Genomic DNA, 27803 nt, shown 5'->3' with positions numbered 1-27803 from the left:
TAGTATAAGGAAAGGAAAATATTTCTACTATTAGATGAAAACTCCTAGTTGAAGATAAGCTAATAGATACTATGGATCATGATCTGACTTAAGATTCCCAAAGCACTTACAAGATCCCCCTTATAGGGATATCAGTGGACAATGTAGTTTTGAAAAACAGCTTTTCATAGTTGGAGCATCTGGAAGGCAAAATCATCAGAAATATGGCTAGAGGGAGTTTTCTGCTCTGTATTTTCTGTTTCTAAGCTTTCCATGGTCTACCTGTACCTCCTAGTTTAGTGAAAACACAACATTTTCATAAGTTGTAATAAATGTCCTCAGCTGATACTGCAGCAAAGCGTGAATGGGCAACACGAATCTCAACAGTATGTGGTTAGGAAAAGCCAAATGCAAATATAAATCCAGGTCCGGCTCATTAGGTAATTATGTCTTAAATGATAATATAGTTGTAGTGAGGGTCTTGGTGATAACAACTCTCAGCATATCTATCTTTTGAATCACACTAGTATCACCTTTCTGGTTAACTGCTGTATGTGGTGTCCAGCTGTCATCTTAGCATTTTCTTTATTCTTCTGTTACTCTCTTAGGTTATTTCTCTTGTTTTCCATACTTCATGTCTTCCTCTTTCTTGATTTATTTCTTATTTTAAATGTCCATATCTCCCAGTTGTTTCTTTAGAAGAAGGGAATGAGATACAAATTTTTTTACTTTCTGCATTTATGTTACATTTATATTTTATGATATTTTGGCTGGGTATAGAATTCTAAATTAGAAATTATTTTCCTTTTGATTTTTTTTTTCTTTTGAGATGGAGTCTCACTCTACCCCAGGCTGGAGTGCAGTGGTCCCATCTCAGCTCACTGCAGCCTCCACCTCCTGGACTCAAATGATCCTCCTACCTCAGCCTCCCAAGTAGCTGAAACTACAGGCATGCACCACCACACCTGGCTAATTTTTGTATTGTTAGTACAGATGAAATCTCACCATGTTGGCCAGGCTGGTCTTGAACTCCTGAGTTCAAGCAGTCCACTCGCCTGGGCCTCCCAAAGTGCTGGAATTACAGGCGTGAGCTATGTGCCTGGCTTGGGCTTTTGAATTTTAGAGTTTTTTTTTTGTTTTTTTTTTTGTTTTTTTATCCTCATCTTGCTTCCTCTGTTGCTATTGAAAAGTCCGAAATTGTTCTGAATCCTAAAATTTTATTTTTCTTTCTTAAAACTTGTAGTATCTTCTCTTTGTTCCTGGGTTCTAAATTTTGCAGTGATGTACCTTTCTATACATATATATTTCATTCATTATACTGGGTACTTTAGTCACTTTAATCTATCAGCAAATGTCCTGGAAAACTTATTTTGTTGATAATTTCCTGCCTTCTATTTTTTCTGTTTTCTCATTATACAACTTTGCTTTTTGGATGATGGATCTCCTAGACTTACCTGGTTTATTACTTTTCTCTCCTATTTTTCATATCTTCTTCTGGGAGATTTCTTTAACTTAATCATTTAACCCTTCTGTTGAATTTTTCACTTCTGCTGTTTTGCTTTTAATTTGAAAGAGCTCTTTTTATTCTTCAAATATTTCTTTTTAATAGTACCCTTGTCCAGCCTGGGTAACATAGTGAGACCTTCTCTCTACAAAGCAGTTGAAAATTAGCCAGGCATGGTGGGGCATGGTGGCACGTGTCTGTAGTCCCAGCTACTCAGGAGGCTAAGGCTGGAGGATCACTTGAGCCCGGGAGGTCAAGGCTTCACAGCGAGTTGTGATCATGCCACTGCACACCAGCCTGGGTGACAGAGTGAGACCCTGTCTCAAAAAAAAAAAAAAAAAAAAAAGTATCCTTGTTCTACTTTTATGCATGTACTAGTATCTCTGAAGATAATAATGAAAGTGTTTTTGAAATTTTTCTCTGTCTGCAAAACTTCCGTTTCTTTCAAGTGTCTATTTGTTCAGGACTCTATATTTTGTATTTATAGGCATTTTCCATATGTCTAATAATGTTTGGCAGTCTATTCATATTTATCAGTAGGGATTAAAAAGTAATTGGAATCTCTAAGCATCTGGGTGGGACTTACTATGTTTGAGCTTCGCTATAATTAATCTGAGTAGTCTATTTGTTGGGAACTTTCCCCCATGCACACTCCCACCCATCTATATCTTTAGAACTTTTTGTCTTATTTAGCCTGATTTCATTTTCCAAAGAAGTCTTCCAGTCTTTTGCCTGAAGTCTAAGGGTCTGACTGCCAACAGTGGGGAAGTTTAGAAGGGATGAAGGCCCGGGGGTTTGGGGGATGGTGGTGATGAAACTGGGATAGGTAACTACATTCCACATTCAGTTTGCATATGGTCACTTTATCTCTGTTTTTTCTTATGAAGCTGATGCCAACTGTTTCTGATAGCCCCATTTCAAAACCTCTCCTGTCAGGATGTGCAAAGACATTTGCCAAGCACGTGGAATGGAAGATGGGAAAATATTTCTCAAACAGCCTTATTTTAGCATGTACATGTCACTCTCCTTCAATCCCAGAGATACCTGGAATCCTGTCCCTATGCTTTGGAGGATTCTGCAGTGTAAATGGAGTTGGTTCTCAGCTTTCCCACTGCCAGCTTGAGATTGGACTTTGTCAGATGTGCTAAATTAGTTACCACTCTTCTATCTGCTCTCTCTTCCAAAATGTTGTCATTTTTTTCCTTCCTTGTTCTCCTAGTCTTTGCTGATTTATGTCTATATTAAAAAAAATCTTTTACCATAGTTTTAGGGGGTTTGTGGAGATAATCCACTCAGATACGGATCTTGAATCTGCCATCCTATGCTGGAACTGAGATCATAAGTATTTAGAGAAAGGATCAACAAATTTTTTCTTAAACTACTTTAGACTGGTAGGCCAGACTGACTCTGTCCCAATTGCTCAGCTCTACTGTTGTGAGGTGAAAGCAACCATAGATGATATATAAACAAGTGTACATGACTGTGTTCCAGTGAAATGTTATTTACAAAAACAGGCAGGCAGCTTGCAGCTCACTGTTTTCTAACCCGTTACTTTCATCACCCCCAAAAAGTTTCCTCTTGTGCCCCTTTGCAGCCAAAGTCTTCCTCCCATTTCCTGACCTTGCTGACCACTGACCTCCATTCTAACATTATAGTTTTGGCTTTTCTAGAATTTCCTAACAATTGAAACATATTGCATGTAGTCTTTTGTGTCTAGCTTCTTTCTCTTAGCTGTATTTTTTTGTTTTAGATTAATAAATGGCAGAAAATTAATAATAGGTTTTAAGCTAGGTTCAGTGTCCCTCTTATATGATGTCAGAAGCTATTGAAGGAAAACGACACATTGAACTTTCAGAAAACAGACTCCTTCATTTTCACAGAGAAGGTGTTTTTTCATGTCAACCTGGCCCACAATACTGTTAGATACATAAGCAACACTCGCATCCCTTTGTCTTAATGGCCTCTTGCTGTTTTATTCATTACTATAAAGAATAGCAATACTCGTTATGCCTGCATGGAGAGAAGAATATTAAATGTGTTTTAACAGGGTTATATAAAGTGATTAAGATTACACGTATGAACTCAGACTACCTAGGTTTGAATTCTGGCTCTGCCAAATAATTAGTTTCCTAATCATTCTTTACCTGTTCATCTGATTATGGGGACAATAATGGTACCTAATTCATAGGATTAAATGACATAAATAATTGTCCTTCAGTATCCATAGGGAACTGGTTTCAGGACAGCCCCTCCTTCACGCCTCAGATACCAAAATCCACAGATGCTCAAGTCACTTATATAAAATGGCATAGTATTTGCATGTAGCCTATACACATCCTCCCATAGACTTTAAATCATCTCTGGATTACTTTACTACCTAATATATTGTAAATGCTATGTAAATAGTTGTTAATAGTGTATTATTTAAGGAATGATAACAAGAAAATAAAGTCTGGCCATGTTGGGTATATATGCTACCATTCTTTCTTTTTCTAAAATATTTTCAAAAATATTTTTGATCATTGGTTGGTTGAATCCGCTAATGCAGAACCGACAGATAAGGAGAGTTGACTGTTTTAAGATCAGTACATGTCACAGTATGTGCTGCAGAGGCATTTTCAGTTAACATTATTATGCTTGCATTGTATATTACACTAAAAGAAAAGACCTAAATTTTATTAAAGTGAGTAGGATTGTCAATGTTTACTTTGATGGACATTCCCAGGAGTACAGTGGAGCCCAGTTTTGGAATCTAAGAATCCTACCAGTTCTATATGCCTCCTATTTTAGGTCACACCCATTTTGTGGCAGTATGGCCCAATCACAAAGTATTTGTCACCCTGTCTGTAAATAATGGGCCATAATTACTTGTTTAGTCTTTAATACATATGATTTAAAGGGATAGTTAGTATAGCATAGAAGTTCAAACACTAGAACCACACAGACTGGCTTGCAATCACACTGGTTTTATGACCTTGATCAAATTAATTAATTAATTAATCTCTGTAAATTGCTATATTCAGAGTGTCTGCATCATAATATCTAATGTAAAAACCAAATGAGAGAAAGCATGTAGCCAGTTCAAGTGTCTAGTGTCCAAGACAAGAGATGGTGTTAGTGTTAGGGTAGTAAGAATAGAAGTAGAGATAAGTTTATGAATTCTAGAAATATGTCAAAGGATAAGTTAAATTGGATACATATGGGTGATAGAAGAGGAGGAAGATGTCAAGGGTGACTTCCAGATTTTTGGCTTGAGAAAAACAGGTGGGTGGAGTTACCACTTAACAAGTTGGGAAAGAATAGACATTGTGGTGTTGGGAATCCAATTCAGAGTTTACTTTTGGACATGGTAAATGTGAAATATCTGCTAAATTCAAATATTTAAATATGGTTCTGAATATTTATCGTTTGTCAGCTATATTCACTACAGATGTCTTCTGTGCATAACCATTTATAATTTTATTAATGTAGCCATATTGACCAGTAATGTAGCCTTGAATCTGTCTTCAAGACTGAGTGCTGTCAGAAATAAAGAAATTCTTTGAAACTAGTGAGAACAAAGATACAACATACCTGAATTTCTGGGACACCGCTAAGGCAGTGTTAAGAGGGAATTTTATAGCACTAAATACCCACATCAAAAAGTTAAAAAGATATCAAATTAACCTAACCTCAAGGAACTAGAGAAGCAGGAGCAAATCTACCTCAAAGAAGACAAGAAATAACCAAAATCAGAGCTGAACTGAAGGAAATTGAGACATGAAAAACCATACAAATGATCAATGAATTGTAGAATTGGTTTGGTGAAAAAATTACATAGACTGCTAGTTAGCCTGATAATGAAAATAAGAGAGAAGATCCAAATAAATATAATCAGAAATGACAGAGGGGACATTACCCCCAACCCCACAAAAATACAAAACACTGTCAGAGACTACTATTAACACCTGTATGCACACAAACTAGCAAACCTGGAAGAAATGGATAAATTCCTGGACATATACAACCTCCCAAGACTGAACCAGGAAGAAATTGAATCCTCGAACAGACCAATAATGAGTTCCAAAATTGAATCAGTAGTAAAAAGCCTATCAACCAAAAAAAAAAGCCCAGGACCGGAATGATCTACAGCCAAATTCTATCAGGTGTATAAAGAAGAGCTGCTACCACTCCTACTTAAACTGTTCCAAAAAAATTGATGAGGAAGGACTTTACCCTAACCCATTCTATAAGGCCAGCATCATCCTGATACCAAAACCTGGCAGAGACACAACAAAAAAATTCAAGCCAATATCCTTAATGAACATAGATGCAAAAATCCTCAACTAGCAAACCAAATCCAGCAGCACATCAAAAAGCTAATCCACCACAATCAAGTAGGCATCATCCCTAGAACATAAGATTGGTTCAACATATGCAAATCAGTGGATGTGATTAATCACATGAAACTAAAGACAAAACCACATGCTTACCTTAATAGATGCGGAAAAGCCTTTCAATAAAATTCAACATTTTTAATGTTAAAAATCCTCAATAAACTAGGCATTGAAGGAACATACTTCAAAGTAATTGGAGCCATCTATGACAAACCCACAGCCAACATAATACTGAATGGGCAAAAGCTGGAAGCATTCCCCTTGAAAACTGGAACGTGACAGGGATGCTCTCTCTCACCACTCCTATTCAACATAGTATTGGAAGTCCTGGCCAGAGTAATCAGGCAAGAGAAGGAAATAAAAGGCACCCAAATAGGAAGAGAGGAAGTCAAACTATCCCTGTGTGCAGATGACATGATTCTATACCACCCCATAGTTTCTGCCCAAAAGCTCCTTGATCTGATAAACAATTTCTGCAAAGTTTCAGAATATAAAATCAATGTACAAACACAAGTAACATTCCTATACACCAAACAACAGTCAAGCTGAGAGCCAAATCAGGAACACAGTCCTATTCACAATTGCCACAAAAAAGAATAAAATATCTAAGAATATGACTAACCAGGGAAGTAAAAGGTCTCCCCAATGAGAATTACAATATACTGCTCAAAGAAATCAAAGATGACTCAAACAGATGGAAAAACATTGCTTACTCATGGATAGGAAGAATCAATGTAATTAAAATGGCCATACTGCCCAAAGCAATTTACAGATTCAATGCTGTTCCTATCAAACGACCAATGAGATTCTTCACAGAATTAGAAAACCTTTTTTTTTTTGATACAGAGTCTTGCACTGTCACAGAAAAAGAACTATTTTAAAAAATTCACATGAAACCAAAACAGGGCCTGAATAGCCAAGGCACTCATAAGCAAACAGAACAAAGGTGGAGGTATCACATTACCACTTCAAATTCTACTGCAAGGCTATAGTAACCAAAACAGCATGGTATTGATACAAAAACAGATACATATACCAATGGAATAGAATAGAGAGCCCAGAAATAATGCCACACACCTGCAACTGTCTGATCTTCTACAAAGCCTACAGAAACAAGCAATGGGAAAAGGACTACCTATTCAATAAATGGTGCTGGGATAACTAGCTAGCCATATGCAGAAGATTGAAATTGGACAGACATCATATACACAGATCAATTTAAGATGGATTAAAGACTTAAATATAAAACTTAAAACTATAAAAACCCTTCAGGAAAACCTAGGATATACCATCCTGGACATAGGACCTGGCAAAGATTTCAAGACAAAGACACCAAAAGCAATCGCAACAAAAGCAAAAATTGACAAGTGGGACCTAATCAAACTAAAGATCTCTGCACAGCAAAAGAAACTATCAAAAGAGTAAACAGACAATCTATAGAATAGGAAAAATATTTGCTTACTATGCATCTGACAAAGGTTTAATATCCAAAATCTATAAGGAACTTAAACAAATTTATAAGCAAAAAACAAACATCCCCATTAAAATGTGGGCAGAGTACATGAACACTTTTCAAAAGAAGCCATACATGTGGCCAACAAGCATACGAAAAAATGCACAGCATCAGTAATCATTAGAGAAATGAAAGTCAAAACCACTCTGAGATGCCATCTCACAGCAGCCAGAATGGCCTTTATTAAAAAGTCAAAAAATAACAGATGCTGGTGAGATTGGGGAGAAAAGGGAACACTTATACACTGTTGGTGGGAGTGCAAATTAGTTCAGCCTTTCTGGAAAGCAGTGTGCTTTCAAAAAATGGCAATTCTGAGTTTCAAAAAAACTCAGAATTGCCATTCAACCCAGCAATCTAGTGGGATTTATTTTTATGGTGGAATGTATTATATTCCTTTGGGTATATTGGATATATAAATCATTCTACTATAAAGACACATGTATTTGTTTGTTCATTGCAGCACTATTCGTTGCAGTAGCAAAGACGTGGAATCAATCTAAATGCTCATCAGTGGTAGACTGCAGAAGGAAAATTTAGCACATATACACCGTGGAATACTACACAGCCATTGAAAAAGAATGAGATCATGTCCTTTGCAGCAACATGGATGGAGCTGGAGATCACTATCTGGAGCAAACTAATGCAGGAACAGAAAACCAAATACCATATGTTCTCACCTATAAGTGAGAGCTAAACAATGAGAACACGTGGACACAAAAAGGGCCTACTTGAGGGTGGAGTGGGAGGAGGGAGAGGATTTTTAAACATACCTATTGGGTACTATACTTATTGCCTAGGTGACTAAATAATCTGTACACCAAACCCCACAACACACAGTTTACCTATATAACGATCCTTTGCATGTGTCTCTAAACCTAAAATAAAACTTAAAAAAAGATTGAGTGCTGCAAATAGTATCTTGACACCTAAAAGGTAGAAACAAATTGATAGTCTCAAGGTATCTCCAGCTTATAGACTTTTTTTTGTCTATTTTCATTATGTTTAAAGTTGAATCTTGTGAAATTGCCATTTTTCAAGGTCCAAAATTTCTAATACTGGTAACTTATATGGTTCAATTTAATATTTTGGGACTGAATAATGTCCTTCAATTTTGAATATGTTTTTAGTATATGCATGTTATAGTGTTACTTTTATGCATCCAGTATACACCTAGTACTTTAATCATCATTAAATACAAATGCATACAATTTGTAAAAAAGCATACATTTAAAATATGCCAAAATGAAGAAAACATTTTAATCTAAATTATTTAATTGGATAAAATAAAATTACATCTCATGTGACAAGGTAAAATATGTTTTACATATAACTGTTCTTTTAAATGTTTTGTTCTATATTAATGCACAATTTATACTCAGTTAATATACAAAAGAGTTAAATAACAAAATCATCCAAAAGTTTAAAGCTTTAAAGCTAAAGCATAAAATTTCCTTGTGTGTGTCTTTCTGGATTAGAGCCATATCTGTGTTCCGTTTCTTCTGGAAGGATACTCCACTGGCCAATTGCTGAAAATAAGAATTTTCTTTAGGCCTGGCGTGGTGGCTCACGCCTGTAATCCTAGCACTTTGGGAGGCCGAGGTGGGCGGATCATGAGGTCAGGAGATCGAGACCATCCTGGCTAACACGGTGAAACCCCATCTCTACTAAAAACACAAAAAATTAGCCGGGCGTGGTGGGGGGCGCCTGTGGTCCCAGCTACTCGGGAGGCTGAGGCAGGAGAATGGCGCGAACCTGGGAGGCGGAGTTTGCAGTCAGCAGAGATTGCACCACTGCACTCCAGCCTGGGCGACAGAGCGAGACTCCGTCAAAAAGAAAAAAAAAATTTTTTCTTTCATCTTATCCTTGTGGATTGGTTGAGTACAAGATGGTAACTTACATTTTTGCATCCTCCATCCAGCAGACTAGACTATCTACCTTCCATTTGGATTTTATTGAGCCATACTTTTCCCAGTGGAAAGCCTTAACTTTTTAGAAGAAAGAATTTCATTTTGTAAATTTTGTCGTAAAACAGGTGTAGATTTTATATTAGTGTAATTTCTCCAGTTGATATCACCAATGTAAATAGCAAATCAATGGCAATACTAAGGGCAGCTGGTAGAGTGTGAAGTGTGTGTGTGTGTATGTACACATACATACTTATATACATATTTATATGACGTGGACATAACTGAAATTAGTGACATAGGTATGTGCTGAAGTCACAAAGGTTAGATTTGATTATTAAAAGATATTTTGTTAATAGATATGCTTACCAGTATAATCACAGAAAGATTTATATGAAGTAAAAAACCTTGAATTTTTGACTTTAAAATTGGACATTTAAAAAACCTTTACATCCATTAAATTTTCAGTTTACTTTTTCTAAAATCAATTGTAAGTTTAAAGTGTATATTATAGGAGTACTTACTTTTTATAACTTTGTAGCAACAGGTTAGCTGAAGAAAAATCTGTCAAATTTGGCAATGGTTCAGAAAATATGTGAACCTGTCACTGTAAGCAGTCTCAAAGGGAGAAATGCATTACAGGAGCTAATTAACCTTAGAAAATAATTACACAAATATGCAAATGTTGTTTAGATAATTCCATGTGCTGTCAGCTCAGGTAGTCCATCATAAATGCAGACCTTGCAATGCCTAGGTAGTAGAATCTGGCATAGTTGATAAGGCTTTGGTTACTGCATCACTTCTGTTTGGCATTTAAGGATTAGTGATGGCAAGAGTACATTAGGAAATTCCACCTGTATTCTGAATGTAGCAGAATTCTAGGGTAAATATCCTATGCACTCTGCCACCAGCAAATACTAATTAATGGATTTAGTTCTTTTCATGCACTTTGTACGTTAGCATATTCTAAAATCATCGAGTTTAAATCAAGTTGCTCAATACAAAATGCACTCTAATGTGGAATTCATGGGGAAGCCTGTGGAATAGATTTAGTATGTTTGCATTTCTGTAATTGAAGCGTATTAGAAAGCCTTTCCTATTGAATCTGTTTAGTCTCAAAATACACTGCTGATAATATACACTCTCTGGATTGTAGTCACAATATATAAATATATAATGATTGTAGACACAATGTGGACTGTGGGTTGGAATGACACAAATTTGCGTTGGAATAGCATCATCACATTTATAAAATTGGGATTTTAGTATGTATTATTAGTAATGTAATATTCCAGAAATACATATACATATATATTTAAAACTAATCTAAGTTTATTAATTTCTATGTTTAACATTTGTAGAAGGCTGCAAATATTTGGCAGAATTTGTTAAATCCAAAAATGATGGGAATCTAGCTTTCTTAAACACTGTATATAGTAAAAAGCCTTAATTTTGTGACAGCCTTGGGAAGTAACACATATGAAAGTTGAGTTTTTTATAACTAAGGCTTATCTCCCTTATATTTTGTTTTGTAAAGTAATATTTTGAATAAAACTATTTAATTGTGTGTCACTAGTCTTTCAGAAATCGAGTTCATATAACATCATTAGCCTTCTTGAAATGACCCAGTGTCACTGTCGTGCTTGTCAGTTATTGTGCTTTGAATATGGCACTGCCCTTAAGTTGCTCATAACAATACTTATGGTCTCACACTAGGTGCTACATGTGCTCTTCTAATTTTCTGGTTTTCCCGTTTCTTCAGTTAGTAGCAAACTTTCAACTATCACTTATTACTCTTTCTTCTTCTTACCCTTAAACCTATTTGAAACAACCTTTCTCATTTGCTGGTTGGAAATGCTCAGTGGGTTCAGACGATATATTTGGTGTACACATGTTTTTGTGTCAAATGGGACCTAAACATTGTTTACTCATGGACGTGAAGATGGCAGCAAAGACATTAGGGACTACCAAAGGTGGGAGAGAAGTAGGGGGCAAGGGTTAAAATACTAACTGTTGAATACTACACTCACTACCTGGATGATGGGATCATTCCTATCTCAAACCTCAGCACTATACAATATACTCATGTATCAAACTTGCACATGTACTCTCTGAATCTCAAATAAAAGTTAAAATTATTTTTAAAAAGATTCGAAGGTGTAAAAACCCTGCTCAGATGATAATTCACCCTAAGAAGACATCAGTAATTACTAAGTGGTATTCTGATTTTCCTGTTGTTTACTTGTTTAGTATAAAAAGCATGTACTTTGTAGAAATTCTGGCCATTCAGAAAAGTGTGAAGAAACTAAAAATAGAAAACTACTCATATTCCAACCATCAATAGACAGCTCAACTGCTTTTAGTGTTTTATTTGATTTATTCTTTTGAAAAGTCTTTTTCAGGCTTTTTTTATATGATAAAAATTACACTACATATCAGATAAGCTGCATGTATTATAAACTCATAGAATAGCTACATAATATTTCATTCAACAGATAAACTATTATTTATATTTTCATTATTGGATACTTACGCTTTATCCAAAGTTTTGCTTTTATAAATGAGACAGTGATGAATATCTTTGACCACCAGTCTTTTGCCACATTCCAGATTATTAGAAGCTGGATTCCTGAAATGAAGTTTAAATACTCATTTGTTTTCATTTTTGAAATGTACTCCAAAATATTTTGTCCACAGTATCATTGCCAATAACACTAGCATTGTTAATTATTGTTGAATGCCTGTAGCATGCCTTGTATTTATAGTTTGAATTAAAAAGATAATCTACTTTCAAGTTGGTTATATTCTAGAAGGAAGGAAAAGCGACTTGACATTAAACAAATAGAGTAGAGAAGAACCAATGAAATGGTATAGGATTCAAATTAAGCTACCATGGCTGATGGTAGAGCTGGCAGGTAATCCTGAGCCACCAATATTTTGCAGTTGTTTTAAACATAGGCATGATAATACATGTAAATAGTTATAAATACTTTATATATATTTCTTGTAAGACATTGTAGTAAATAACTAGTTCAATTTCTGCATGAGATTCTGACCTTCAGTTGACTTTCTGGCTCTTCCCCCTGGAAGCCTGATATAGTGGTGTGTTAGGTTGAGTTTCCCAGATAATAAATTTCGAAATGGAAGTTTACATGCAGGAAGATTGTTGAGGAGTCCTCTTGGGATCAGCACTTGTAGGGGAGTAAAAAAAAGTAGAATTGGACAGGAGTTGAACTGCAGTGTAGTCACAACAAAGCCCTCAGCTAACCCCATGGTAGTCTCTGGATCTGAGATGACTTTTCAAAGATGTTCTGCCATAGGCAAGCGACCAGGGGTAGGACTGTAACCTTAAGCAAGGTTGCTTTTTGGCTAAGGGCAATTTCTAGAGAGTGCCTCAGCTAAGGCCAGCACTCCCACAGCTAAGGAAATGAATGACTTATAACTGAAGGGATTCTGGGCAGCACATCATAGCATTCACTCTTAAGTGGATGGTCACTAGACAATATTGCCTGTGGTAGAAAATGACCCCTAATTAGTAAACTCCATCAGGATTAGTAGTAATCAGAACATGGTATACCATAGCTTTGATCTTCCCTAAGAGTAGTGACTCTTAGAATTGAGCATGTCTCTTATGGGATGGAATCCTGAAAGCCATACCTATGGAGTTATTGCAAAGATATTGGCTTCTGTGGGGTATAAGATTTTTAAGCCAGGATAACTCCTGCATCTGCTCAAGGTGAGCCTGATTCCCTCACTCCTAAGTTAACACGCCATATTCCAAAGATAGTAAATCCTCGGAGGTTCTGGGGGTTGCCACAAGGACTGCTGCAAGGCTCCCACTAAAAAGTAGTGTCTGGTGCTGCCCTGCTAGCAAGGTTGATTCCTTTTCTATATCTTTTTTAGTCAATGGATATCAAGTGTGGTCCAGAATAGTCTCATGAGTTTGATGGTTTAGTTGAGCCTATAAAAGACCCCCTTGTGGATATTGTAGACATTTTTCAGTTGGGTCTCACTTTTTAGAATATTTGGTTTAAAAGTCTAAAGCTAAAATCTGTAATTTCAGCTTGACCTTAGTCAAGCTGAAGACATTTAAGTACTTGAAGCCCATGGAAACATGAAGTTTCTCTTTCCTACTGCTGACAGGCCATTAACAGATATTATCTCCATCGACTGTGGAGGAAAAGACTAAGCTGTAATACTATTCTCTGTAAGCAGTAGAAACAACTGTTGGTTCTTAGCTCCCTTTAGTCATGGATGGGCCTGGCCGGCACTTTCCCTCAAATCCTGTGACTCACAAAATTTTGCTCATTTTTCTTTTATGATGATTCATTCTATCCCTTTCTTTCCATTCACTCTGCTACCACCCTGAGGAGTATTATGGTCTTTATCATCTCACATATGTGGATTACTGAACTACTCCTTGCTTTTAGGCTTTGTGTAATCTGGGCTGCATTGCCTGTCTCATCCCAGACTGAGTTGCATGACTGAGTTTTGTCTAGGGCTTTCAGACTATTAATGTGTAATCCAGATTTGCCTGGAGCATAAGATCCCTGGAAATAGATAGTGAGAGGGAAAGCTAGAAAGATAGTTTTAGAGAAGATGTTGGCTAAAGAGTTCCAGTTACTTTGTAGGCAAAATCATTTCAGTAAATGACTTTTTTTTTTTTTTTTTAGCAGCGGAGTGGCTTGATCAGAGCAAGGCTTCAAAAAGATTGATCTGGCAACAGAGTAAAGGGAAAGACTAGAACAAGGTTCCCCAAACCCCGGGTCACAGATGGGTACCAGTCCATGGCCTGTTAGGAACTGGGCTGAACAGGAGGTGAGCAGCAGGCAAGCAAGCCAAAGCTTCATCTGTATTTACAGCTGCTCCCCATTGCTCGCATTACCACCTGAGCTCCACCTCCTATCAGATCAGCTGCAGTATTAGATTCTTATAAAAGCATGAACCCTATTGTGAACTGCGCATGTGAGGGATCTAGGTTGTGCGCTCCTTATGAGAATCTAATGCCTGACGATCTGTCACTGTCTCTCATCACCCCCAGAGAGGACCACCTAGTTGCAGGAAAACAAGCTCAGAGCTCCCACTGATTCTAAATTATGGTTAGTTGTATAATTATGTCATTATATATTACAATAGAAATAAAGTGCACAATAAACGTAATGCACCTGAATCATCCCAAAATCATCCTCTCCACTCTGTCTGTGGAAAACTGTCTTCCACAAAACTGGTCCCTGATGTCAAAAAGGTTGGGGACTGCTGGACTAGAAAAATTGAGACTAAAGTCTGTTGTAAGAAAACCTAAACAGTGGTGGGACTGGAAAGAATGAGACAAATAGGATCCCAACAGTATACAGGAAGAATTAGTGACTGAGAAGACAGCAGGGAGAACCTCACTGAGGTCAGATAGTATGGATTTATAATGGCCCGTCAACCTTGGTTTCAGGACAGTCCAACAGGATCAGAGGAGGTAATACTCCTCACACACTACTGCTTCTGAAGTCTTTATGTGTTAATACCTCTAACTTATTAAAGGCCAGGATCATGGCATACTTATCATTCTTCCATCTACACTTCCAGCGCAGAGCTTAATGGGGACAGAGTTATCTAATTGTGTGTGGATATATATATATATATATATATATATATATATATATATATACACACACACACATATATATACATATAAATATATATACACACATATATGTAATCCTGTCCATATATGGAGTATTTAGGACCATCTCAGGTATTTAAGATGGTTAGTTATGCCAACCATCAATAGGTGGAAACTCTGGTAACTTTCCTATTTTGTTTTCATATTTCTTGCATTGTGAGCTATAACTAGGGTGATGAGGTGTTCAGTATTTTTCTGTATAGTTCCAATTTAGACCTGTTTTCCACTACAATTACTGATAATATCTTTCTTCACTCTCAAAAGTTTGAACAACAAATTGTATAGTCACTCCAGATATGTCTACAGAAAAGTGCTAAATATGTATGGTTAGTTTAAATAATAACTATAAAGAACACACTTGTGTAACTATCAAAGCAGACAAGAAGTGGAATGCTGGCAGCCACTAAAAGTCAATTTCTTAGTCACAACTTCATTCCCTTCCTTAAAGTTAACCACTATCCTCATTTTTATGTTAACCATTTTCTTACTTTTTAAACTAATGAAAGATAAATTATCAAAGCCTAAAATCCCTATAAGGTTTTCCTTCCAACTGTTTTATTCATTCTTCTGTGTGGGTAATTTCATATTTATGTTACTAAGAAATGACTTTGGAAGTATGTTTGTATTTTAATATATGACTACAAGGTTGTAGGTAATCAGCCTGAAGATAAACGTTGTGGTTTTGTTATTCATTTATTACACTAAGATTTAATGAACAAGAAGACATAGTTCTTGGCCTCAAGAATTTGATAATCTAACTAGTAATTACAATACAGCTCCTCAGTGCAATAATAGGAAGCATGCACAAGATGATGTTAGAAGACATTACCTAATCCTTGGGAAAAATAGGGTTGACTTTCCAGAGGAAATGATATCTCATTTCAGTACTGAAGACAAGTAGGGAGTATGCAGTAGAAGGTGGTATGGGAAGTGAAGGCAGAGCACAAAGATCACTATCTGGACAAATGCAGTAACCCATAGGCAAGAAAAATAGGGCCCAATTAGGTTACTTCGAGTTGCTCCCTACAACTGGAACACAGAGACTGTTCTGTGTGTCTTCTCAGGGGGAAAAGGGATGTGTTTGGGGTCAAGGTATTTTGTAGGGCAATGGTGAAAGATATAGTTCAATACAGAGTGCTAGATCATAAAGGGCCTTGAATGTCACACTGAGGAGTCTGAACTTTACAAACGGCCTTGAATGTCATATTAAGGAGTTTGAGGGCCAGGCGCAGTGGCTCATGCCTGTAATCCCAGCACTTTGGGAGGCCGGGGTGGGCAAATCACCTAAGGTCAGGAGTTGAAGACCAGCCAAGCCAACATGGCGAAACCCCATCTCTACTGAAAATACAAAAATTAGCCAGGTGTGGTGGCATGCACCTGTAACCCCAGCTACTTGGGAGGCTGAGGCAGGAAAATCGCTTGAACCTGGGAAGCAGAGGTTGCAGTGAGCCAAGATTGCGCCACCACACTCCTATGCAGGCAACAGAGCAGGACTCTGTCTCAAAAAATAAAAAAATAGATATAGGAGTTTGAACTTAATTCTGGGAACAGTGAGAAAATAGGAGGATTCTAAGCAGGGAGTGAGTAACTTGGCAACATGATCATATTTGCATTCTTGACAGGTTATTCTCACTGCAGAATTAAAACATGTAAATGGTCAATCCTACAGGTCACTACTAGGCTAGGCTAGAGATTGTTGAGGCTAGGCTAGAGATTGTTGTGGTCATCCACTTGTGAAATGATGGTGGCTTGAGCTAAACCAGATTAAATGAAAGAAAAGTAGATGGATTTGAGAGACGGTGGCAGGATCAATAGAATTTTAATGACTGATTATGTGAGGAATTTGGGAGAAAGAGAAATAACAGATGAAAATCACAAGCATTCTTCTACACCAATAACAGACAAACAGAGAGCCAAATCATGAGTGAACTCCCATTCACAATTGCTTCAAAGAGAATAAAATACCTAGCAATCCAACTTACAAGGGATGTGAAGGACCTCTTCAAGGAGAACTGCAAACCACTGCTCAATGAAATGAAAGAGGATACAAACAAATGGAAGAACATTCCATGCTCATGGGTAGGAAGAATCAGTATCATGAAAGTGGCCATACTGCCCAAGGTAATTTATAGATTCAATGCCATCCCCATCAAGCTACCAATGACTTTCTTCACAGAATTGGAAAAAAACTACTTTAAAGTTCATATGGAACCAAAAAAGAGCCCACATCGCCAAGTCAATCCTATGCCAAAAGAACAAAGCTGGAGGCATCACACTACCTGACTTCAAACTATACTACAAGGCTACAGTAACCGAAACAGCATGGTACTGGTACCAAAACAGAGATCAATGGAACAGAACAGAGCCCTCAGAAATAACGCCGCATGCCTACGACTATCTGATCTTTGACAAACCTGAGAAAAACAAGCAATGGGGAAAGGATTCCCTATTTAATAAATGGTGCTGGGAAAACTGGCTAGCCATATGTAGAAAGCTGAAACTGGATCCCTTCCTTACACCTTATACAAAAATTAATTCAAGATGGATTAAAGACTTAAACGTTAGACCTAAAACCATAAAAACCCTAGAAGAAAACCTAGGCATTACCATTCAGGACATAGGCATGGGCAAGGACTTCATGTCTAAAACACCAAAAGCAATGGCAACAAAAGCCAAAATTGACAAATGGGATCTAATGAAACTAAAGAGCTTCTGCACAGCAAAAGAAACTACCATCAGAGTGAACAGACAACCTACAGAATGGAGGAAAAGTTTTGCAATCTACTCATCTGACAAAGGGCTAATATCCAGAATCTACAATGAACTCCAACAAATTTACAAGAAAAAAACAAACAACCCCATCAAAAAGTGGGCGAAGGATATGAACAGACACTTCTCAAAAGAAGACATTTATGCAGCCAAAAGACACATGAAAAAATGCTCATCATCACTGGCCATCAGAGAAACGCAGATCAAAACCTCAATGAGATACCATCTTACACCAGTTAAAATGGTGATCATTAAAAAGTCAGGAAACAACAGGTGCTGGAGAGGATGTGGAGAAATAGGAACACTTTTACACTGTTGGTGGGACTGTAAACTAGTTCAACCATTGTGGAAGTCAGTGTGGTGATCCCTCAGGGATCTAGAACTAGAAATACCATTTGACCCAGCCATCCCATTACTGGGGATATACCCAAAGGATTATAAATCATGCTGCTATAAAGACACATGCACTTGTATGTTTATTGCGGCACTATTCACAATAGCAAAGACTTGGAACCAACCCAAATGTCCAACAACGATAGACCGGATTAAAAAAACGTGGCACATATACACCATGGAATACTATGCAGCCATAAAAAATGATGAGTTCATGTCCTTTGTAGGGACATGGATGAAGCTAGAAATCATCATTCTTAGCAAACTATCACAAGGACAAAAAACCAAACACCGCATGTTCTCACTCATAGTTGGGAATTGAACAATGAGAACACATGGACACAGGGAGGGGAACTTCACACTGTGGGGCCTGTTGTGGGGTGGGGGGAGGGGGGAGGGATAGCATTAGGAGATATACCTAATGTTAAATGACGAGTTAATGAGTGCAGCACACCAACATGGCACATGTATTCATATGTAACAAACCTGCACATTGTGCACATGTACCCTAAAACTTAAAGTATAATAAAAAAAATTAAAAAAACATTTTAAAAGGAAAAAAGTTGACTCTCAGATTTCAGCTGGATATGGAGAGCTTAGACAGATTTGTAGAGGTTCTTACTACAGTGTTGGATTGGTTGAGTTTGACATGTCTGTGGTACATACAGAAGGAAATGACCATTAAATAGTTGGCTTTGTGGCTCTGGAGAGAAATTTAGGACAGATAGACATAGAGAGAACTAACTTCTAGATGGCAAGTGATGCCATGCATGTGGGGACCTTAATAATTTATTATAAAATTTCTAAAAAGGAAAATGTGATTGTGTGCATTGTCTAATATCCATGACATTCTTAGGAAATGAGTCTTTTAGTGTTCAAGCTTCTAAGAAATATTCGTACAAAGCATTTTCTTGAGGTTTCAGTTCTTCACAGTTTGCTTTTTGATCAGTATTATTTCACATTTTAGTTTGTTTTTGTTTTTCACATTATCCAGGTTTTGGCTTTAACCACAATATGTCAGCCATAGAAATAAACAGCAAAATGAAGTTATTACATAACTTTTGCAACTTAAGTGACATACATTTATTTGGGTTTAGCAAGTTAGGAAAAATGTAAAAGGCCTAGGTTTATATATTTAGGTTTTTTTCCCAATTCCAAAAATCTGTATAGAAAATGCTTTTAGAAAAAATGTATATATATATTTTGATAATTTCAACAGAAAATATTTATTATTCATTTTTCCTTATTTTTAGCTTACAGAGATACTTAAAATCTTATAAATAAAATAATTTAGATATATATTAAATATTTTCACATCTAACTATGGGAATGTAAATACATTTTTTAGTATTACATTGTTTTATCAAAAGATCAGTATAACTTTCTGCTATATAATTCTAATGTGCTCACTGATTTTTGAAGAGCCTTCAAAAAGTTCATGGAAAATGCATATTATGAAAAATCCATGCATGGATTTCATTTTTATTGCACCAAAATAAACTCTTACTAACTTGCTATGACATGCCTGGAGAGGATCTCATTCAAGGCACTAAGAAATACAGGACATCAGTTTGAAAAGAGCACCTGTCAGAGCAACATGAATTCTGCTAAAATTGAAGCAAGAACAAGCATCAAATTTATAGTGAAGCTTGGGTGGAAGAATGGTAAAATCATTGATGCTTTACAAAAAGTTTATGGGGACAGTCTCCCAAACAAATCAGTAGTTTACAAATGGCTAACTCATTTGAAGAACGGACAGAACATTGTTGAAGATGAAGCTCATAGCAGCTGACCATCTGCATCAATTTAGGAGAAAAAAAATTATCTTGTTTGTGCCCTAATTGATGAGATAAGTGATGAACAACAGAAACAATAGCTGACATATAGACATCTCAATTGATTCCACCTACACAATTCTGACTGAAAAATTTAAGGTGAAAAAACTTTGCACTCAATGTGTACCAAAACTGTTGCACCCAGATCAGCTGCAGACAAGAACACATATTTCAATGGACATTTTTAACAATTTGGATCAAAGTAAACATTTCTTTGAAGAATTACAACGGGAGATGAAACATGGCTTTACCAGTACAATCCTGAAGACAAAGCACAATCAAAGCAATGGCTACCAAGAGATGGAAGTGGTCCAGTCAAAACAAAATCTGACTGGTCAAGATCAAAGGTTCTGGCAACAGTTTGGGGGGATGCCCAAGGCATTTTGCTTACTGACTTTCTAGAGGGCCAAAGAACAATAGCATCTGTTTATTATGAAAGTGTTTTGAGAAATTTAGCAAAAGCTTTAGCAGAAAAATGCCTGGGAAAGCTTCATCAGAGAGTTCTCAACCACAAGAATATCCTGCTCATTCCTCTCATCAAACAAGGGTAATTTTGCAGGAGTTTCTCTGGGAAATCATTAGGCATCCACGTTGCAGTCCTGATTTGGCTCCTTCTGACTTGTAGTTTTCTAATCTTAAAAAATGTTTAAGGGCATCACTTTTCTTCAGTTAATAATGTAAAAAAGACTGCATTGACATGGTTAAATTACCAGGACCCGGAGTTCTTTAGGAGTGTACTAAAAGGCATGTATCACCACTTACAAAAGTTTCTTGACCTTCATGAAATGTTCAGAAATAAAGTGTTTTTTTTAATTTTTATCTTTTAATTCTATTTTTTTACAAACTTTTTGAAGTCCTCTCATATTCTCTAATTTGAATTTTCAATGTAGTTCTTTTATATTATTTTTATTTTGAATGAGCTATAACCATTGTATTTCATATGCTGTGTATGCAAGCATATAATTTAATTGTTGTTTGCTATGATAATAATTAGGTATAATATGTAATATATGACATTTGTTTCCCTTATAGGAAAATGGTTCTCCTGAAGAACATGCAATCTATGTTTGGGATCATTTCATAGCTCAGGCTGCTGCTGAGAATGTGTTTTTCGTTGCTCACAGCTATGGAGGACTTGCTTTTGTTGAACTGGTAAGTGCTTATTTTACTCTCTGTAGTTCCAGTCTCCTTGTAGGTTTATCCCCTCTCCTTTCTTTCTGTTGGTATCAATACTCTTTAAGTTATGTTATAAAGAAGGAAAATAACATATTTTGAGTAAATAATTTTATGATGTTTGAAAATAGTTTATTAATTTACTTATTTATTTTATTAATATTATTATTATTTTTTGAGACAGAGTCTCTGTCGCCAGGCTAGAGGGCAGTGGCACCATCTCAGCTCGCTGCAACCTCTGACTCCCTGGTTCAGGCTATTCTCCTGCCTCAGCCTCCCAAGTAGCTGGGATTACAGGCATGCACCACCATGCTCAGCTAATTTTTATATTTTTAGTAGAGACGGGGTTTCACCATGTTGGCCAGGATGTTCTCAATCTCCTGACCTCGTCATCCGCCTGCCTCAGCCTACTACTTTATTTTATGGTGACAGAGCTTTTTAGTGCTAACCAGAAAGCTTTTTGCCTGTTCCTTATTTACATATTAGTTTTTAATTTCTACATTATAGTGCCAGTTTCCATACATTTCATGATATTTATTGTTTCTGCTTTATGTATACACCATTGAGTCTTATGTTATCTATAAAGTGTTTAAAATGTCAAGAGACATTTTGAATACTTGAGAATATTTTGATAGTCTTTAACTGACTTGTACTTGATACTTGATCAGAATTTTATATAATTAGTATTAAAACTGCAAGAAAGCTTCCATTAATCTGCTTCTAACTAGAATGCATTGCTTGATCATAGAAATCTTCATATTTAAAAATAATTTGATTCTTGGAGTTAAGATTATGTGTACATGATAGAAAAAAATTACCAAATTTCTGAATTCTGTCTGTTTTAGATGCAATATTACAATATCACAATCATGGGCCAGCATGGTTAATGTGATATAATCAATTCTAATAATGGATTAGTGAAGAATTCATGGGATCTGTCCATAATCTCTTATGTTACAGGAAGTTACCAATCCTACCATAAAATAGTTAATTTGATAAAAGTGCAGTTGATCATTTTAAATCCAAATAGATCTAAGTGGACATTGAACCAGAGACACAATATTGATTGCCTAATTTTTATGTTTCTAGACTTTGGCATGTTTTTCTCTGACATGGAAATTGAATATATTTCCGTGACCTTTTCAACCACCCTATGTCTTATTGCTTACCCACTTGATTTAGTTTTAAAACTGGTAGTGACATCTGAGAATATTTTAGCTGACTTAACTCTACAAGTGCTTCTGCTGTCTTAAGATCAATAAATCGTTAAGTTAAATCATTTATTTTCTAAATTTATTTCAGTTTTTAGGGATTATTTTCAACTAATTTTAACTATGCTGAATTAATTTATTTATTTTGATATATATAATAGATATCTTAAGATAGCTCTTTAGCACACTACTATGATGTACTTTTTAAAATATGAATGTTGTTTTTCAAATAATTCCTTTCAATCCCTACAGATATAAATATATAGCTATATAGATATATATATCTCTATATCTCCATAGATATAGATTATATATAGCTTATTTTTTCTTTGTAAGCTGTTAAATTACTTAAAGCATGAAATTTCTTGACTTGTAGAGTGACTTAAAATATGTCTGAAAGTCTGCAAGGCTAATCAAATTTTAGAGTTCTATAAAACATAAATTCCCATTTTTTAACTTTAAGACAGTTTACGAAAACCTTTACACACCAAACTTAAAATTTACATTCCTTTTGGACAGTTTTTACAATGAACTGAAGATGCCAGAGTTAACAGATGACCAGTGTGTCAGTCCTATTTTGCCCGTCCTGCTTGTCACACACTGGTGGATATTTCTCCACTTTTGTTCCACTTTAATATAAAGCACACAGATGTTTCAGAACAAGACTTGACTTCTGACCTTGAGGCTATTAGGGTCAGGGTCCTCAGGGCCTGTGAAATTATCACAAGCTGAGCTAAAGTTTTTCTCCATCACAGGAAGTAACCAGTAAGTAAGAAGTTAAAAAGGAGCTTTGTCAGAGAGACAAGATGGTCTCAGTAAGGGTCAGCTTCTGTAGTCTGCTATCTCTGCAGGAGGCACATGCATGGGAGGAGGAATATAATATAACCACTGGCACATCACATATCTGTCAGGCAACGCCAGGGCTGAGAAGTCTATTTAATGTAATATACGTTGTTTAGGTTCTAAAGTATTAATGGCAATTATCTCATCTTCGTTTTTTTTTTTTGCTACTTTTTGTGAAATAACTTTGATTTGGGGGTATGTAATGGAAGCATACGGATGGTGGCAAATGAATAAAGACTGGTTCCTGACCTCATACAATGGATTCCTTTAAGCAAATAACATTGTACCCTGATGAATTTTACATTATTTTTTGACAAATTTGATTAATATGTTTAGGTCCACTGTGTTTTTGTTTGAAAGGCTTTCTAAAATATAGTATTGTTAAAGAAATAATAAACATTGAAATGTTTTTAGATCCTTTGCTTTTGCCTAAAACTGAAAAAAAATGTTATTCAGTTTTAGGCAAAAGCAAATTTAAAAACTCATGGTGTTAAAATATTGACAAATAGGCAATTTTTCAGGACTTTTCAACATTAACTGTATTGTATGAATTGTTTTACTTTCATTCAAAATTTTAATATTAACTTTACAAGCAAGTAAATTGTCAAGATTAATATGTAAATCTTAAATTATGATTTGGTTTTTTGTCCCAGTAGTGCATTACACATGTCAGACAGTAAATCCTTTGGATTTCAGTCATTTAAATTGCCATAAAATTTTACTTTTGATTAAAGATGACACACACACATACACACACAAACACACACATTTCTTAGGGAACAGTCTTAGTTTGTAGCGTCGTGTTTGAATGCATGGAAATCGTTTTTCTACCACTGTCCTACAAGTTCACATTCTTCGTTATGTCATGAATTTCAAAAAAAAATTGTTTTAAATGTAAATTGTAGCAAGTACAGTTTCACCAGTAAATGCAATTACTTATGCTTTAATATTTTGCTAATTGTTGTTTTCGAAAAGTGAGAACATAATTTACTATTATATCCTATCTTAAAATGTTGTATTTATCCTGAAGAATATCTTATAATCAGAGATTTTTTTCAAAACCAATATTCATTTTATGGTAGTAAATCTTAGAACTTGATTAGATCTAACCTCATTAAAAAACAGTATACATTTTACTATAATAAGAAGAAACATGATATTAAAAATATGCTATTAACTGCTTTTACTCTCACCATATGGTAACAACTCAAATTTCCAATTCTCTGAACTCTCTGTGTTCCTAGTAAAAATAAATTTTGATAAGACAACCCTATTGATTGTAGGATTTAGTCATTAAAGACAAAAGGAAAGAACTGTTTCATCTCATGAATTGATAATGAACTTTTAAAAGTAATATATCTGCCTCTGTTATCTTTTCTGTATACTTAAAATAATGCCAATATGTAAAGTTACAGTTATTAAACCATCATTTACAAAGCCTGAAATTTCTTACAAATTTTACTTTACACATAATAGAATTATTAACCATAATTAGAATGCATTTACCAAATTCATCTGGAAAGAAATCTACAAATAATGCAACTTACTTTTGCCTTATACTAGTTTTAAAAAATTCAGGCTCATTTTTTGAAAATTAACTGTCATTTTAAAACAATGCAGTTTTTGACCTTCTTCATCATCTTTTTCTCCAGCTACTATGATGAAGTGATTTCATCACTTTTATTGTTGGCCATTTCAGAGTGTTTTGCTCTTATCTTTCCAGGCGATCAGTTTGGCCAAATCAAGTAACCTTTAATTTTTTATTTAATTTGGAAATTAACAGGGTTTATCAATGCCCAGTTATTGATCTCAGCACACCTTACCTTCCCCGTTTGCAGTGCTCAATATATCAATTTGAATGGAAATTTCTTTGCTTAGCCAAAACAACAGTGTTCATATGTTTTTATAAAACATGTTAAGTAATTTTAGTAAATATATTTCATTAGTTTATTGAATCATCTCAACTGATACAAATTTTGTGTTTTTCTTATTACTTTTATTTCCTTTTCCATGTTATTATTAGTATATTCCCAACCATCATTAAAAAATCACTTAGAAATGTGTGAAAACAGCTCCTTTTGAAAGTGTATCGCTACCCACTTTTGATTTTGGTTTCTCCATGCTTGTCAGCACTTGATTGGCACCTCACTTGCATGTGAATTAAGGAATGAAGGGAACTCTATTTTCCTGCCATTGTTCCATGCTGGGCTCCCTGGCCTCCAGGCAGCCTAAGCTGCCCTTCAGCAGCTGATAGAGGACTGGTTTTGGACATAGCTGCATGAGGACACTCAACCTCTCTCTACTCTCAGCAGATTTTTTTAAATTGCCTGGAGCATGATTTGGATTTACACTGAAGAGAAAATGGAACTAAAATAATTAGTCTTTTACATCAGCTAACTGTGACCTTAAAGAAGTGTCATTTATATTTTGTCCATGAGGAACAAAGTAAATTGGATATTGGTAAGATATCTGCATAATGTGATCAATGAGAACAGCTAAAAGTTGGGCTGCTGGGAGTCAAAAATTGAGGGAAGTTAAAATAAGGGAAGTAAGCAAGAAAAACTGAATCATAATGGTATCCAGATAACTCAGGCCAAAAATACTCTTACAAACTTACTTTAAAAATCTAGGTAATTCAGTAAAAATAAATTGCCATTTGTAATATAACTTCAAGATACATACTAATTAGTTTTGTTAAAGTTATCTTTTATGTCCAATCTCATTTTGCCCAAATGATCTAGAAATATCTTGAGGATAAAGAGTCTAATACTGCTCTTATCCCAAGTTTGAAAATAATGTATATTACAACAACATGAGTAGTCTTAAATATCTGCACAGTTAGTTGACTAACATATAGAGTTTAAACCTTTTTTTTTTTTTTTTTTTTGAGACGGAGTTTCGCTCTGTCGCCCAGGCTGGAGTGCAGTGGCGCGATCTCGACTCACTGCAAGCTCCGCCTCCCGGGTTCACGCCATTCTCCTGCCTCAGCCTCCTGTGTAGCTGGGACTACAGGCACGCGCCACCATGCCCGGCTAATTTTTGTATTTTTAGTAGAGACGGGGTTTCACCGTGTTAGCCAGGATGGTCTCGATCTCCTGACCTCGTGATCCGCCCGTCTCGGCCTCCCAAAGTGCTGGGATTACAGGCGTGAGCCACCGCGCCCGGCCAAGTTTAAACCTTAACTCTTTTACTAACTAAATTTGTTAATTCTCCCTACTCTGCATTTAAATATTGACTGATTTGGGAATTCTACCTAATCAGTTACTCCACATTAGACAGTATTACTTTTTTCGTTCAGGTGTAAGACTTTTATAGGCTCCTTGTTGCTGGCATGCCCAGCTCTCAGTCTGACTGAAAAGATTGCTTCTGTATGACACACCCTTGTAGGTATAGTCTTTTCAATAAAATAAGAAAATGACTAAACTAAATTATAATATAACTAAATTATCATCATAATAATATCCTTACAATGTTATATGGCAGTCTATGAAATAAGTCTAGAAAACTTTCCATTTCATCCCCAATCGGTTCAGCTTCACCTTTTATTTAATAATTAGCTTACGTTCGCTTGTTTGCATTTTTTAAACTTTTTTATTTCTGAGATAAATTTTACATACTTTTATCAAGATATAATGGAGATTTATTAAGATTTATTGAAATATGACTTACATGCCATAAAATTCATCCTTTAAATAAAATATACAGTTCAAAGTCTTTTTGCATATTTGCAGACTTGTACAACTATCATTACTATCTAATTTTACAACATTTTTATCACCCCAAAAGAAATTCCATACCCATTACCCATTTCTCCCCATACTTACAATCCTGCCAGCAGTGTATGAGGGTTCCACTTTCTGCACATCCTCATCAGCACTTATTATTATCTGTCTTTTTTTATATTAGCTATCCTAGTGGGTGTGAAGTGGCATCTCACTGTAGTTTTTTTTTTTTCTTTTTCATTTCTCTGATGAATAATGATGTTGAGCCTCTTTTTATGTGCTGTTGGCCATTTGTATTTTTTGGAGAAATGTCTACTCAAATCCTTTGCTCAATTTTAATTGGGTTATCATTTTTATTTTTGATTTTTCATAGGTCTTTATATATTGGTACAAATCTCTTATTGATAAATGATTGTGAAAATTTTCTCCCATTCTCTGGATGACTAAGTCACTTTCTTGATGATTTCCTCCAAAGTACAGAAGTTTTAATTTTGATGAAGTCCAATTTATCTAGTTTTTGTTTTTGTCATTTAAGCTAGTTTTTGTATATTGTGTGAGGTAAGGGTCCAATTTAATTCTTTTGAATATGGATATTTAGTTAATCCCAGCACCACTTATTGAAAAATACTCTTCTTTCTTCTCTGATTTGTCTTAGCACCCTTGTCAAAATCCATAGACTATAAATGTAAGGGTTTGCTTCTGGACTGTATTTTATTCCATATATATGCCTGTCTTCATACCAGTACCACACTGACTTGATTACTGTAGCTTTGTGGTAAGTTTGGAAATCAGGGAGTAGATCCTCCAACTTTGTTCATTCTGTTTCAAGATGATTTTGGCTGTTCTAGGTCTTGCTTTTCCATATGAATTTTAGGACTGATTTGTTAATTTCTGCAAAAATAAAAAA

General features: G+C 35.6%; 1 protein-coding gene across 32 annotated transcripts in view; it reads left to right on the top strand.

Moving 5' to 3' along the window:
* The window catches only part of ARB2A (ARB2 cotranscriptional regulator A), a 493975-nt gene that overhangs the window by 266453 nt on the left and 199719 nt on the right, over positions 1–27803 (top strand). For all 32 annotated transcript variants that reach the window (NR_028080.1, XR_007058646.1, NM_001163418.1 and 29 more), the window contains one exon: positions 20980–21099. Coding sequence is in view for 30 of the 32 variants with exons in the window: in NM_001163418.1 (NP_001156890.1) it covers positions 20980–21099 (120 nt within the window). In the remaining 2 variants the exon portion in view is untranslated. The remainder of the gene's footprint in view (positions 1–20979; positions 21100–27803) is intronic.

Source organism: Homo sapiens, chromosome 5 (genome assembly GCF_000001405.40).
Source record: "Homo sapiens chromosome 5, GRCh38.p14 Primary Assembly".
Lineage (NCBI taxonomy): Eukaryota > Metazoa > Chordata > Mammalia > Primates > Hominidae > Homo > Homo sapiens.
Note: the sequence above shows the minus strand (reverse complement) of the source record. Positions and strands in the feature narration are given on the sequence as shown.